The 16,578-nt window shown below is 40.4% G+C and overlaps 1 protein-coding gene across 4 annotated transcripts in view; it reads left to right on the forward strand.

The window, feature by feature from the left end:
* The window catches only part of CASR (calcium sensing receptor), a 107,962-nt gene continuing 91,790 nt past the window's right edge, over positions 407 to 16,578 (forward strand). For 3 of the 4 annotated variants that reach the window (NM_001178065.2, XM_006713789.4, XM_047449065.1), the window contains exon 1: positions 1,066 to 1,268. The gene's annotated coding sequence lies outside the window, so the exon portion shown is untranslated. Of the gene's footprint in view, positions 552 to 1,065; positions 1,269 to 16,578 lie in introns of those variants that run through there. The other variant, NM_000388.4, reaches the window with a different exon arrangement.

A 16,578-nucleotide genomic window follows, 5' to 3' on the forward strand; every position in this document is an offset into this window, starting at 1 on the left:
ATTTCCTACTGTTGACAGTTTGGCTCTGTTTGCTTTTTGTGGTTTTTAAAATTATTTTCTGTAACAAATGATCCTGCTAAAAAAAAAATCTCCGCACGAATATTATTTTGTTCTGGAAATTTCCGCAAGGGTGGAATACTGCATTAAAGGGGATAATATTTTTGGTGTTTCTTTATAGAGCCTAGCAAATTGCCCACCCAAAGGAGTATGCTTTATTTGAGAGTAAAAAGCCAAAAACAAACAAACACATACAAAAAAACTGGTTTTCTACAAAAGAAATTAATTTTCCACTTATTCATAAAATATTCTAGTGCTGTGATGGGTGGCAGGCACCGTGCCAGGGGCTAGGGACAAGGATAAGCAAGGCCAGGTCCGGGCCTCCAAGCAGCGCGCTGTGGAGTCGGGTAGAGTAGACCAAGTGCAACAGGCACCTGGCTGCAGCCAGGAAGGACCGCACGCCCTTTCGCGCAGGAGAGTGGAAGGAGGGAGCTGTTTGCCAGCACCGAGGTCTTGCGGCACAGGCAACGCTTGACCTGAGTCTTGCAGAATGAGTAAGAGTTTGGGCACGCGATTTGTATTTATTTTACTGTGAATCTCTGGCCTTATATCAGAAAAAAAAAAATTGTGCCACCCTCGGCACAGAGAACGTTGGTGGCGTCGTAAGCGCCCTAAGCTTCTTTCCATCGCCAAGGAGTAGGGGTCAGGGAAGAGGACAGCGGGAACAGGATTTGAGAGCCGGGAACCCCTGGCTCGGCACGGGAGAGGGCAGGAGAGGACCTAAGCGCGGGGCTCGCCGTCTGCTGGGGACCCGAGCCGGCCTGTGGCCCTCGGGGAACCGAAGACGCGCCCTCAGCGACCCTGAAGAGTCAGCTAAGCTCTCTGCGGGCTAAGGAGACGGTGAAGGAACCGGGACTAACTGGGGTAGGGGTTAGAAGGCAGCCCGCGAGTGGGCTACGAGGGGAGCTGGGCTCGGCAGTTGGGGACCCCGAGGGGGCAAGCGGGCGGGGAGCAGGAGAGGGGCGGAGCTCCGGGGCCGGGGCCGGGGCCGCAGCGGCCGCCCAGAGGGTCTGCGGGGGCTGCTGTGGCCGGACCCGAAGGCGGGCGCCGGGAGCGCAGCGAGCCAGACGCGCCTCTCCAAGACCGTGACCTTGGCATAGGGAGCGGGGCTGCGCGCAGTCCTGAGATCAGACCAGAGCTCATCCTCGTGGAGACCCACGGCCGAGGGGCCGGAGCTGCCTCTGTGCGAGGGAGCCCTGGCCGCGGCGCAGGTAGGACCGGGGAACCCAAGGAGGGCGGGAGGAAAGCGCCCCTGGTGGGGGAGGGGCCGTGGCGGGGTCTGGGGGCCAAGGGCTCCGGGCCGAACGAGGGGCACACGCCGGAGCAGCTCCAGCCTGGGAGCATTGGGCGTGAACGTGGGGGAAAGTAGGGACCAGATTACAGGATCAAGGCTTTCCCCGGCTCAGAACTGGATTGTTCAGTGCCCCTAGAAGGGGCAGCGGGTCGCCCACGCGAATGAACGGGAGCGCGCACCAAAACGCCTGCTGTTGGTAGTTTCTTGTGCCTCTGCCTTGTTTCTGCCTGTGATATAGTCAGAAAGGACTCGCTTGCCACGTGTTAACAAGGGGACAGGTAGCTTTTACAGAGTGTATGAATATGGAGGGGAGGGCCACAGAGTCAGCTCTGGCCCCAGGGGCCGTCAGTGCCCCCACAGGATTCCTGGTCCAAGCTACCAGCTGTCTTGGGAACTTTGCTTCAGTGGCATCAAATTAGATTGTCAGTTCCCGGGGCCTGAGCACCAGCCTCCATGTGTATTTCCTGGGGAGAAAAAAAAAAGGCATACCAGACTGATGGAGTCTTATCATTATTTTAACATTATAGCTTTCAATAGATAACATGCATATGTTTCTTTTTTTAAGTCAAATAATACAAACATTTATCTTCTACAGGCAATGCGTGCACTAGCATGTGTGTCTATTGCTGTCTCCTTTCTACACCCATAGCCTTTCCCACTCTACGTGTTCTGTCGCCGTCTTTTGATTCTTTATCCAGAAAATGATGTCACCACCACTGCCCACATCCCTTAATCTCCAGTGTTCCTCCTTGCAACGCCTCTCTTGTCCTCAAATATTTTTCACAAGGTGGTCCTCAGGGTAGGGAGCCTACTAACGAGAAGACATTTCGTTTACTTGCTTCAATTATCCCAGAGATTTGAAGAAAAGGCACATTGGGGAAGAGTCCATGTCAAGTTCTAAACACACTTATCTTTCCCCTTAAACTGGATCTTCCAAGTGCAGTTTAGGTAGTCTGTTACTGAGAGAAATAATGCAGGCTGTTTTCTGAAATGCTCTGGATTTCCAGAACTTAACACCACAGTAGTTCCTATTCCTTAAAACAGAACTTCATCAGTCACACCTTGCTGTTGCTTTTCCCATCTCCACTCCAGGATTCCCTAACTGGCATGCCTAGGATTTTTCCTCTGTAGGAACCTGGGAGAGCGGGTGCTTTATACCTGCCTCCCAGGTGTCCAATGAAGGGGCTGAGGGACAAAGCTTTGTGGTGGACAAAAGGGGAGGGGAAGATGTAGGAGAAGTTGGAGGGGAAGTAGGAAGGAAGAAGCAGGCCAAGACCCTTGAGTAGAGAAGACTCCTCAAGCACAGAGCCCTGTCATTTGGGAACAGTCTCCATATAATTTCTAAGAGACCACACATGCGAGTTACTTCCTGCCAATACAGCACAGTCAGCTCTGTTCCAAGACTTCTATGCTAGACCAAAACATAGTAAGTGAAAAAAAAAAATCAGCAAATCAACCAGTTTTTGTCTCTATGATAAAACAGAGTGGTTGAAATTAAATTAGTTAAAAATTTTCTTTTTTACTGAATTAGCAGGTTCTTTAGGAGCTGTGTCCATTGTTTAAAATCACCTAATAGGTACTCCAGTCTCCACATTTTTCCTTTATTTTGTTTATCTTTTCATATTGCATAACCTTGAACTGGATCCCAACCATGTCAGAAAGTTCAGGCTGATTAGAAGCTGCCACTTCTAAGACTTTTTGGTGGAAGAGAGTGGGGAGGAGAGGGTGAGAAAATAATGACTGATCCTTGTGATAGGGTAGGGGTATAATGAAGAGGAAGAAGTTAACTACAAGTTTGAGACTGGTGAGGAGTTGCATATAATTCTTAAGATAACACGGCAATAAGTAAGTAAGAGGTAAAAAAATCATTCATCATTCATCATTCAAAATGTTTATAGAGTGCCTGGCTATGTGCCAGTCACTGGGAACTAACTGGTATATAAAACCAGGTGAGGTCCCTGCTCTCCTGGAGCTTACAGATGCTTTGGGGTGGCAGCTGTTAGGAAAATAAATATTGACTATATGTTATTACAAACTAAGATAAACTGTCTGAAGGAAAGAAACGAAGTTCTTTGAGGGTGTATACAGACTGAACTGTGAGACCAGGGAAGCCTTTCTCAAGGAGATCTCCCTTGAGCCAAGATTCAAAGATGGAGAGGAAGGTTGAGGATATATTTGTTGTTTACGTAGGACCAGAATGTATCCACTAGGAATGGTGTTTGGCTGCTAGTCATTAAGAAGACTAACTGCCATGTGACATTTGCTGTACTACATGAGCACATGTGCCAACTTGGCATTTTTGGCACTTTGGGAAAGAATGCTTTGTTATCACAGTATCAGTTGCATTGTCTTCAGTTGGTCATGGTTTGCCATTGCTGTATTCTTGCTTTATAATTAAATGTTTCAATTAACTTTATGCTTATCCACTTATTTTATTGTGTACAATAAAATGTGTGCATTGCAGTTCAAATGTGAATCATCCATATTCCCATTAATAAGGTAAATATATATATAACCCTGATACCAAATGTGGTTTATACACTGACTGTTCAATGTTATCACTAAATAGATTCTTTAGGTGAAAATAGGTGTGGCAGGTGGGCTGTAATATCTTCCTTCCATCCCTAGCCACTGCTCTAATTGGGAGGATGCCAGAATTTTTCAATTATTCTAAAGCTGCATGATCCTTTTCAAAGATTCATATATAGCTCTTTAGTAAAGAAAAAAAATCACCAATTGCACTGAAGCAACATATTTAACATTCAAACAAATATTTTTATTCATTCGACAGTGTTTACAGTAAACCTTGTATGTGCTCAGAGCTGTGCTAGACAGTATAATTAAAACTGATTACTAGGACAGAGTCCCAACATTTAAGGAGTTCATAGAAGTCTGAGAGGGAGTCATGCTCATCCATGTGCAGGTAGTATTGTGTTCATTACAATTAAAGCATAATCAGGGTACGTTCATGTATAAGGGAAGGGAGTGGTCAATTCTACCAAAGGAGGAAGGGTCAGGGAAAGGTTCTTGGAGGAGGTAACGCTTGAGTTGAATCTTGAAAGATGAGGAGTGACACCAGGTAGACAAAAGAAGAAGGTATAATGGGAGAGAGATTCATGTGCAAAAACAAGCAATTAACAACAACTAAACCAGAGGCATGAAACATCATGTCAAGTTCTAGGACCTGCAAGTGGTTCAAGGAGCTGAAGCATAAGGAGCCAAGAGGTAGGGAGGCTAGCAAAGTGGCTAAAGTATGCATGATGGGGTCACAGAAACAAAGATTTGAGTCGTGGTTCTGCCACTTTCTAGCTGTGGGACCTCAGTTAAGTAATTTAGCCACAGTAATTAATGGTAATAAAGGTAATACTTTCCTCATAGGATTGCTGCAAAGATTCAGATAAGATATGCACAGATTATGTACTCAGGAATTGTTGGCTATTCATTATTTATTCTAGGGCAAAGGAAGCTGCTGGAGGGTTTTACATAGAGGAGTGACTCGTGAGCATTTTTGCAATCACTCTGGCTGCATGTGGATGCTGAGTTGAAGGGGGCTCATTTGGAACAAAGTAAATATTTAGAGACATTATAACCATTTAGATAATGGTAATGATGGCCTGAACCATGGCGGTCATGGCAGCAGCCATGGAGAAAACTAGCTAAATGCTTGAGATATCGTCAAAGTAGACTCCACCACAGAACTAAGTTACTCATTAGATGTGGTCAGTGAGGGAGAGGATTTGAAGAGGTGAAGCCTGAGATTCTGGTCTGTTATCCTTTGACTCTGTCATTCAAGTGATCTTGGGATAGAAAAGAAGAAGTGAGTATCAACCAGGACTGGGGATCAGGAATCTGGGAAGTGCTTGTATACAGAGAACTTCATGATCGGTACCAAAAAAAATGCTATCTCTGATTCAGAAGAGCCCTTGACCATTTCTGTGTCTGAACATAAAATAGGATCAGTTAATCCATACCAAATATAATATCCATCTTCTCTCTCTCTCTTTTTCTCTCTCTCTATTTCTGGGAGGCTTTCAGTTCAAAGTGGGTGGACATTAGACTTCACCTATTTGTCATTGCCTTGAAGTGACAGATGTACCCTCACTCCATGCCTGGTACTGTTGGTTCAACTCTTGCCTGACACCAGCCTGATTCACTTTTTTCTCCTTTTTCTCATGTCTTCTCATATACAATAAGCACTAACTGAGGTGTCCACATGGACTTTATTAAAGTCCATGAGAATTAGAGGATTCAGGTAGTTCCTATTTCATCATGCAATGCAGTCTTGGTAACCACAGTATCCATTCATAAGGCAGGAAACAATACAGACATGTGTGATAGTGTTTGTTGAAAAGCTGCCGAGAGCTTTATTACTGTTTCCACCAAAGGTGGATACTAGGAAGTGCTGATTAAGGGTGTGCTTTTGGATTCAGTTGCTCAAACAACTGTATTATTACTCAAAGCCACAGAAATGAACATTATAATTAGGCAGAGCCAAATGAGTGAGATGGTCAAATATGAAATGAGGAAAACAAGATCAGCCTCTGCCGTGGACAGTCTAGTTTGGTGGAAGGTGGGCTTTCTATCTCTGACCTTCAGCATGACATTAACCTAGCTGAGCCTCAGTTTTTAGTGGTGGACCTTCCTTTGAGATCTGTGAAGCTAAGGTAATGTCTCCTTCACAGGGCGGTTGTGAAGTTTAAATGAGTTAAATGTGCTAAACACAATGTGTGGCGTATGGTGGGTGCTTAACTAGCTGATATCCTTTGGCTCAGTTAATCCCCAGGGTCTTTCCTCACATTGAAAAAGCAGGAAGCATGCAGATTTCTTGGGTTAAGTAACCTGAATTAATTTGTTTTAATGTGTTTTTCATCTATGATTGATTTTTTTTCCCTGGGAACCAGGGTGGAAACCTGTTTTCCTCCACCCTCAGTGAATGCTTATCAGTGATGATGGGGGCAAAGGTAATATGATACCTGCAGAGAGGAAACTAATTTTAGCCATTCTTCCTTCAACAAGTCTGTCACACACATGCAAGTAAAATTACTAACAAATAGAAAAATTGAGTAATTTGACTTCTTCCTCCCATATTTTCTGTTGGTAGAGTTCCTATTAAGCATATTTTTTGTTTATCTTTTGTTTTTCATGTAGGTAGAAAGAAGCAGGCTCAAAGAAATTGCAGTTGTACCCCTCAATAATTGTTTGTCCTTAGGAACAAAGTTTTGCTTTTCTCCTCTTAACAGAAGTTGATGGTTGAAAGAATTATCATATCTTTCATATAGTTTTTCTAAATATTCTATAATTTGACATAAGCTTTTAGTTTAGTTTTGTTCACCAGTTGGGTCCCAACTGCATGTCAGATGTTGAGTTGGCACTGTGTACTCAGAGACGCCAGCTGTGGTGCCCAGATCTCCAGTCTGGTAGCCCTTGTGAGAGAGACTGGGTAGGAAGAGAAGTGGGGTGGAGGGTGCAAGCTGATCTTAAACAGCTGATGGTGGTGGGAGTGACACTCAGGCTGAGGCTCTCTACCACAGCTTCAGGCTTCCAGTCCATCCAATCATGCACTCCTTTGGGTCAGGATCTGGGTCTACTCATCCCAGTGCCCCAAGCCCCTGCCAGTTAGAGCCCTTATGTGCTAAGTGCTTGTCGATTAAGAGATTCGGGGAAAGGTAGTGAGGAGGCTAGGTGATCTTCTCTTTTCACACTCTTAAAAATGAAAATAGTCCAAGTAAAGTTTATACTCCATGCAATTATCAACCAATTTCCATTCATCCTCATCTTTTGAGAGGCAGTACACTGCAGTGGTAATAGCCTAGGGCCAGGAATTAGACTACCCGAGCTTGTATCTCAGTTTGACAGCTCACTAGCTTCGTGACCTTGGGCAGGTTGTCCAACCTCTCTATGCCCCATTTTCCTTATCTGTAAACTGCAGTTAATTAACACTACTTACCTCTTTGGTTGTTAAAAGACTTATATGAGCTAATACACGTTGTTAAAGCTCATCAAGCATAGACAGCGTGTCTTATTCAACACTGAAACTCCAGAATCCATCATAGTGCCTGGTACACTGGAGGAGCTGAATGAATCAATGAATGAATGAATGAATGAACAAATGAATGAGTGACTTAGTGAATGAACAAATCTCAGTATATAGACTGGTATAACAGTCAGCAATTGACAAAGCACCCTCTTAATATTAATTCATTTGATTCCCAGAACATGTCAGGAGATAAATAAGGCGGCTGAGCAGGGAAGGTATTATCTCCATTTTACAAATTAGGAAACCAGGGTACTGAAAGGTTGGCTTGCCAAAGAAAGTGCAACTATAAGTAAAAGATCTGGTTAACGTTGCTGATTCTACTTACTCCTAGCTCTCTGCTCTTCTCAAGATTCAGCTGCCTCTCCACCTTATACAGATTTCACAGAACTCAAAGGATGTCCACCAGCAAAAATGAACACACATAGCTTATTTAGCTTTCTGAAGAAATGAGTTTCTTACTGTAAATACACTCAGTCAAGTTAAAACTTAAAGTTGCAACTTGAAGTTTGGAATGTTTTTATGTTTTGGAGAGGGGAGCAGTGGATATTTTGTAAGAATGAGGAAGTTCTTTCTAAGTATAAAAGTAGCAGAGAATCATGAAGGAAAATATTGATAGATTTCATTACATAAACATTTAAAATACTTGGGTTTTTTTGTTTTTTGTTTCATTTTGTTTTTTTGAGATGGAGCCTCACTCTGCCACCCAGGCTGGAGTGCAACGGTGCGATCTTGGCTCACTGCAACTTCTGCCTTCCGGGTTCAAGCAATTCTCCTGCCTCAGCCTCCCAAGTAGCTGGGATTACAGGCGCCCACCACCATGCCTGGCTAATTTTTGTGTTTTTAGTAGAGACGGAGTTTTACCATGTTGCCCAGGCTGGTCATGAACTCCTGACCTCAGGTGATCCACCCACCTCAGCCTCCCAAAGTGCTGGGATTACAGGCATAAGCCACCATGCCTGGCCAACGTTTAAAATACTTGTATATAAAAGGTTATAATTAAATTAAAATGAAAATAAACTCAAAAAAATTTGCAACAAATAAGCCAAAAGGTTCAAATTTGTGAATATAAAGAACTCATAGAATTTAATAGGAAGAACATTAAGACCATGGTTTCAAAAAAGTAGCCAAAGGTTGTAATGGTTTTCAAATGAAGACAATCACATGGGTGGTGAAACATACAAATATTTTAACTTTTCTTCAATAAGGGAAACATTTTTACAATGATATACCAATTTCCTTATCAGGAACATTAAGATGTTGAAGATAATGCTAGTGGAGTGGGGCACAATGGAAACTGTCATAACAAATTACCTGGAAAACAATTGCCTTAAAACTGTTCACAGCCTTTGACCAAAGAATTTCATTTTGGGGATTGTATCATTAAGAAATTATCAGAAATATGGTTAAAGACTTATGCCCAATGATGTTCTTCACAGTGAGAATTTGAAACTGAAACACAAGAAAAAGCCTATGAATCCAATAATAAGGGAATGGTTAAATACAGTGTGGTGGATAGGAAGCAGCATAGGCTAGCAGCTAAAAGCATGATTTTGAGTCTTACCACCTGGATTCAAATTCTGGCTCTGTCATGTAACTGTCATGTAACTCTGCCCTGTAACTTTGGAACCTCTCCAGGCTCTACTTTTTTCATCTGTACAAAGGGGACGATAAGAGTATCTAACATATAGGGCTGTTATGTGGCTTAAATGGGTTCATACAGGTCTACACTTCCAAAATCTTCAAAGCTCTAAACAACTAAAGGTTTTATGTAACTTAAATAGCAACAAAACATCAGTGAACTGACACAGATCTACTTTATTCCATTTACTGTGACTGTATTTGGCAGATATAATCAATGTTAATCCCTTTCCACAGTTTTACCTTTCTTGCAGAATCTCCAAGATTCTCTTTATGAATTAATAACAATCTTACACATTTGAAAAAGACTAATTTTGAAGTCAAAGCTAACTAGAGAGCAGGTATATGTATTTTGAACTAATCTCTTGGCCAAGAAACTTTCCCAAATCTTCCATCCCAGGGCTCTCAAACTTTAAGGTGGGGAATATTCTTAATGCATAGATTACCAATGTCTATCCCCTAGAAAATCTGATTAAGCGGGTCTGGAGTGGGGGCCAAATGTATATAGTTCCTGCGAGCTCCCAGGCGATGATGGTAAGGCTGATCCATGGATCACCTCTTTTCTCTGCTCTTCTCACGATCCAGCTGCCTCTCCAGCTTATACAGATTTCATGGAACTCCTGTCCACCAGCAAAAATGAACACACATAGCTTATTTAGCTTTCTGAAGAAGTGAACTTCTTACTATAAATATGCTCAGTCAAGTTAAAATTTAAAGTTACAACTTGAAGTTTGGAAAGTTTTTAACTTTTGGAGAGGGGAGCAGGTAGCCTCACTCTAATCCACTCCTTCTTTAATTTTCATCACCCCTCACATTGTATCTTTTTATTTGAACCTTTTCATTTCTGAAAATCTTCGACCTTTTTTTTTCATATTATCATTCTCCTATTCTTTCATTTCTGGTTTTTTTTTTGTTTGTGTTTGTTTGTTTGTTTGTTTGTTTGTTTTTTGAGTCTCACTCACTCTGTCACCCAGTCTATAGTGCAGTGGGGCGATCTCAGCTCACTGCAACCTCCACCTCCTGGGTTCAAGCAATTCTCCTGCCTCAGCCTCCCAAGTAGCTGAGATTACAGGCATGCACCACCATGCCCAGCTGATTTTTGTATTTTTGATAGAGACAGGATTTCACCATGTTGGCCAGGCTGGTCTCAAACTCCTGACCTCAAGTGATCCATCTGTCTTAGCCTCCCAAAGTGCTGGGATTACAGGCATGAGCCACCATACCCGGCCCTATCCTCTCATTTCTATGGGGTGCTTTTATTCCTAGAAATAGTAATGTAATAAAATTATTTATCAGTTTCTGAGTACCTACCATGTGCCAGTAACACAGTTAAAAATGGAAAGTTTCTTGGCCAAGAGATTAGTTCAAAATACATATACCTGCTCTCTAGTTAGCTTTGACTTCAAAATTAGTCTTTTCAAATGTGTAAGATTGTTATTAATTCATAAAGAGAATCTTGGAGATTCTGCAAGAAAGGTAAAACTATGGAAAGGGATTAACATTGATTATATCTGCCAAATCTAGTCACAGTAAAGTAACACAGTTACTACAGTTACTTTACTTTTTTTTATCCTTCTGACAACCCCGAAAGGAGGGTTATTGGAAGGGTTTTTATACTTTATCCTTTTTATCCTGGAAGGGATAAAAACCCTCCCAATAACCCTCATTTAAGTGATGAGAAGACTGAGGTCCTAGGCCTGAGGGTTTGTAGGTGGTGGAAACTAGTCATCTTGGCCCCAAAGCCTAAGCTGTTTTCATTTTACTGTCCTGCCCATTTCACATGGTGGTACACATCCCGTGCTCTCCAGTCTACACGCCTTCTCATTCCTGCCTCCACTACTTAATTCCTGCAGAGTCCCCAGCTTGGAACCCCCTATCTCCTTATCACCTATTCAGGTACCAATCTAGGCCTTCTATAACATGAAGTGTCCCCAAATATACTCGCACAGCCCACACTCAGCTGCATCTGTTGTTCCTAGTTGGCCTTTTATCATATATGCATTTGGTTTTTTTCACCAAGGGATTTTTGTCTTCCTAACTGGATTTAGAGCTCCTTGAAAACAGGGCCGATCTCATGCATCTCTGGGTCCCCCTTGGAACAGCCATGGTGAGGACTGATTGCCTCCTTCACCCCCGCACTTTCTACTCTTCTTCCTTCCTGTCCCCCTACCCACCACTTGTCCCTTCCTATCTTGGTGAAATCAAGCCACACCAACAAGAAGGCAAAAAAAATAGGCCAGGTTTCACCCTTCCTAATCTCCTTCCCTGTGTGGTTTGTTAGTGTTTGCCTTGTGGTTCCACAATGTCATGAGAAGGAAGTCTTTTTATGAGAAGGAGCTTTTCTCATCAATGTTATGAGAAGGAACTTTTCCTCTACTTGGCAGAGAGGTACTAGCCATGTCTTATAACCCTTGGCCCTCTTGAGGGTTTCCAGAACTCCCTTCTTTCCATGTTTATTCAAATTCCATTTTCATTATCGTACTTCCCAGTTTCACCCAACATCCACGTTATCACCCAAGTATATGCCAAGAGTCCTTGCCTGCCCATTCCCAGCTTATACATCTATGGAGCTACTTTCTGCAGTGAGATCTGTTGGGAGCAGCATGGCCAACACATTCATTTGGTCCGTACACTTTAGTTATATTCTTCCCTGCCACCTCCCTTCCTCTTCCTCCTCCTTTCTTCTTCTTACTTTTTCCTCCTCCTCCTCCTACTTCCTGCTCCTCCTCCTCCTTTTTCCTCCTCCCTCTCTTTCTTCACTTCCCTCCATCCCTCCCTTCTCCATCTTTCTGAGGTTATTACTCCTATTATTAGTTGGGCAGTGTTATCAACCCACTATGACAGCACTCAACACTCAACTTACACATCCCAGAGCTTGTAATCCTCCTTTTGTAATTTTCCCACAACTTGTCATTTCCTTGTAACAGGGCTACAGAGCAGCTGGGCCTCCCAGCAAAAGGGTGAGATTTCCTATGGTGCTTTCATTTCCTCCCCATCCATTTAGTTCAAAAGTGCTGGTTGTGTTTGTGTTACAGGTTCATGTAGCTACACTGCTACACTGACACCACCACTACTGCAAAATTTCAGATTGAATTAATTTTCTTGTTCAAACGGGTTTTTTCTGACCCATATTTATGAACCAGCTTTGTGGTGTTCTTGATGGTTTCCTTTGGTGTGTTCTGTAATCTGAATTTCTTCTCTTTGGTGCCTCATTCCATGCGCTATTCTTGGTAGTTTTCATAGTGGAACACTAGGGGAAAAAATTATCCCGAGGAATATCATTTACTGTTTATTTAGTGTTGACAATGCGTTAGGCATTATGCTAAAGATTTTATACATTGCTTCGTTTAATCCTATCAAAAATTTTAGGTAGTTATTATCCCAGTACACATGGGGAAACTGAACTTTAGTCAGGTTAAGTGATTTGTATGAGGTCTCATGGCCAGTAAGTGGAACAACCTAGATTCAAAATCAGTTCATATCATTCCAAAGCCCATAGTCAAAAATGTAGTTTATGGAATCTTTTAACTCATCTTTTAAAAATGTAATGAGTTTTTCAATAGCTCTTTCATACCCTACTGCGAGAGTATAAATGAATACACCCTTTCTGGAGGGCAATTTAGCAATACATATAAAAAGCTTTTTAAAATATTCTTATCCTTTAATCTAACAATTCCCATGCCTGAGTTTATGCTAAGGAAATAATCGTTGATATGTTCAAAGATTTTACCCTAAGGAAATTCAGGATGGCCATATTCATAATATGAAAAATTTGAAACAGGTTCTATGCCCAATAAAAGAGAATTGGCTAAATAAAGCATGATACATAATCAATGAAATACCAAGTAGTAATTATAAATAATGTGGAAAAAGACTATGTAGTGACATAGAAATGTGTTCATGATATAAACACATGGTATGGTATGATAAATAACATAAATATATAGTATGGTAAATAACATATACAACATATGGTATGGTAAATAACATACCATAGGATTTCAGATTCAATCAATTTTTAAAAAATAGATACTACAAAATAAACTGAAAGAGAAATGATATCAAACTAGGACATGAATATGTAACATATATCTAAAAATGTGAAAAGCTGTGAGATGAAGTAAGGTGCTGGAATTAAGACTAATTTTTATTCTTTTATCTTTTTTACTATGTAATAATTTTTAGTTGACATTTACTTTTTTTTAACTTTTTGGTTTTGGTTTTTGGGGTTTTTTGTTTGTTTGTTTGTTTTGTTTTGTTTTGTTTTTGAGGCAAGGTCTCGCTCTGTCACCCAGGCTGGAGTGCGGTGGTGAAATCACAGCTCACTGCAGCCTTGACCTCCCCAGGCTCAAGTGATCCTCCCACCTCAGCCTCCCAAGTAGCTGGGACTACAGGCGTGCCCCACCATGCCCAGCAATTGTTTGTATTTTTTGTAGAGATGGGGTTTCACCATGTTGCCCAGGATGGTGGTTATTTTTTTAATAGGAAAATTGTCTGCATGTTGTCCCCTTTGCTACCCCCAGTTTTACTGAGGTATAATTCACAAATAAAATTATATATGTTTAAGATGTATAATGTGATGATTTGACATATGTAAATATTGTGAAATGATTACTATAATCAAGCTAGTTAACATATCCATCACCTCACCTCAGTTACCTTTTTTTTGTATGTGTGGTCACAACATTAAAGATCTATTATCTTTGCCAATTTCAAGTGTACAATACAGTATTATTAACTACAACCAAGATGCTGTACATTAGAGCACCAGAATTTATTCATCTTAGAGCTGAAAGTGTGTACCCTTTGACCAACATCTCTTTGGACTTCCATCTTGGGCATTTCCTCTGTTGGTGTTTTTATGCTAACTCCTTGGTCATTTTTTTGCCCACCAACCTGGTGGGCTGAGCTTGGGAGCTAATCATTTGGCCTGGAAATATTGGCACAAAACTGAACTTTTGTCTGGTGCTGTGTGTCCTTGTGTGGCTCCAGTGGGAAATTCATAACTTGTTTGAGCAAAGCAAGCTAACTAACTAAATGTCCTTTCCACCTCCCTCTACTAGTTTTGTGAACTCCAGCAGCCCTTATTTTTTCCTCTAGAGTTTAGTAGCTATCTTTCTTTACCCTCACTCACATTGTGAAGGAAATCCTGTACTTTTTTAAAAATTACAAGACCTTTGACCGATGTTCGTATTTATCAGTGTTCCCATTTTATATTTATAATTTCCCCCATAACCAAATAAGCATTTCTGTAGACACAACATTCTGTCTCCTCAGTTTCTTTAATAACTCTTTTTTTCTTAATTTGGGTTTTCATTTGTTTTTCTTCTCTTTTGACTCAGGGTGTTTTGTTTGATCCAGTGTCAGGACTAGGCCACTTCCCAACTGCCTTGTGCTGTTGATTCATATTGATCTCCTAAACTCATCACATCGCCTCCCCTTCTTTCAGGCTTCAAGATGTCCTTGCAGAGTGCCCCATTCCTTCTTCAGCTTTTCTTTCTGCTGTCATCACTTTGATCATCTGCCTGCCAGCTTTGGCTTCCTTCATTGACCCCCTTTCATTCCTCGCCTATAAAGTCCACCTATCAGTCTCTCATCTATTTTTATTCTTCATTGACTGTTTCAACTGCTAGTCCTGAGTCTAATCATTTAAGCCTTTGATTTGGGCCTTCCCTGAAGCATTTTTTCAGATCTTTTAAAAAATGTCTCACCACTCTGACTTCTCAGAGCTCTGCAGAGCTTTCTGACTGATGCTTTTTTCTTTAGGTCATAATTGATTATAGAAGGAATAATTAACCTCAGGAGATAAAATACTGAAACAACATCAATTAGCATTCCTTCTATTAAAAAAGTTTAGATGAAAAGCAAGTCGTCTCCATAAAGAGCAAATTATCTGTAGCCAACTCAGAGAAAAGGATTTATGACACAGAATTTCCACCTCTCAGAATAAATGCTGAGGAGATGATCAGACAAATGTTAAATAAGTACTTGAAAGTAAGTAATTGAAATGTTATTTGTAGTAGTAAAAACTTAAGAAATATCTTAAATGCCCACCAGTACACAATTGGCTATGTGAATTTTGACTCATGCATACTGTGAATTACTAGGAGTCATTAAATATTATGTTTTTGTGATAATATGTATGTATTTATGATAACAAATATATATTTTGAATAAAAGTTGCAGACCAGAATGTATAATATGATCCCATTTCTGTAAAAATTGTATATGTATGTGTATATATAATCACTGAAATAAGGTCTCTTGGTGATGGGCTTTTTGAGGGATTTTTTATTTTTTGTTTCTTTTTGTTTCTTCTTCCTACTTTTCTACATCATTCGTGTATTTTACAGTTAGGAAATGTTGTTTTTTAGGCAAATAAAACAACTACTAGTTTCTTAGTGAATTACATAGCTAACTTCATTTTTTGATTGTTCATTTTATATCTTCCTAACATTTTACTATGAAATTACTCAAAAAATTTTTCTTTTTATTATAAAATTGTCATTCATACTAGAGATAATATGTTTTATATATACATATATATGAGAGGATATATATATATATGGGGGATAAAGAATAATTATAAAATGGACACCTGTATTCCCAAATTCAGCTTAAGAAAATTAATTCTTTGAAACTTCTTTGTATTCCTAATCAAATCTTTCCTGCTCTTTCCTCCAGAGAAGTAATCATTCCCAAATTTGAATTTCAAATTCCCTCTTTTTATAGATTTATGATATTTACATATTCAGTTCATTATGCTACTACTTGTGTTACTGTAATGCACATTAGTTCATAAACAATAAGTAAATAAGGGAATTGCGTCAATATACATGGAAGTCACATTGCTTATACATCTTTCCCCATACATAAATGATCTGTACCACCAAGGAACTGCAGCTGCCTGCAGGGTACACTAACACAGCTGAATACAGCAAGCTGTGAATTTCTGTACATGGAACTCATCCACTGCAAGTTCTTCCTCTTGGCTCGCTTTGGCCTTCTATTCAATCTGAGAAGTGCTTATTATATAGTTCTTCCTGATCTTTGGGCATTTTATCCTAAGGTAGCTTCTTCAACCCTTCCTTAAACCTTCTCCTAAGAAATTATCTTCCTTTTTTCTATATGCTGAATTATTGTATTTGCAGTGGTGTTTATTTAATGTAAATGGAGAAAGTAGTATTTATTGATTAAGAATGTAATTTGCCTTATAATTTTCCCAGTGTTTTATTAGGATTTTTATTGTTTTATTAAATTCTGGTTACAAAATTATAGAGGTTTATTTCTCTTTTTTCTGTGTAAAAATAGTCCATAATCTGTTACTTTTAATCCTTAGTTTTGCAGAATGTGAGGGTTTAAAAAAACACATATATTACCAAAAAGAAAAGACTGATTTCGTAGAAGTAAAAAGTAGAATAGTGGTTACTAGAGGGTAGGAAGGATGCGGGGGTGGGAGGTGATAACCAGAAGTTGGTTAAGGTATACAAAATTACAACTAGATAGGAAGAGCAAGTTCAAGTGCTCTACAGGACTATACCGTGACTATAAC

The sequence above is a fragment of the Homo sapiens genome, chromosome 3 (genome assembly GCF_000001405.40).
Source record: "Homo sapiens chromosome 3, GRCh38.p14 Primary Assembly".
Lineage (NCBI taxonomy): Eukaryota > Metazoa > Chordata > Mammalia > Primates > Hominidae > Homo > Homo sapiens.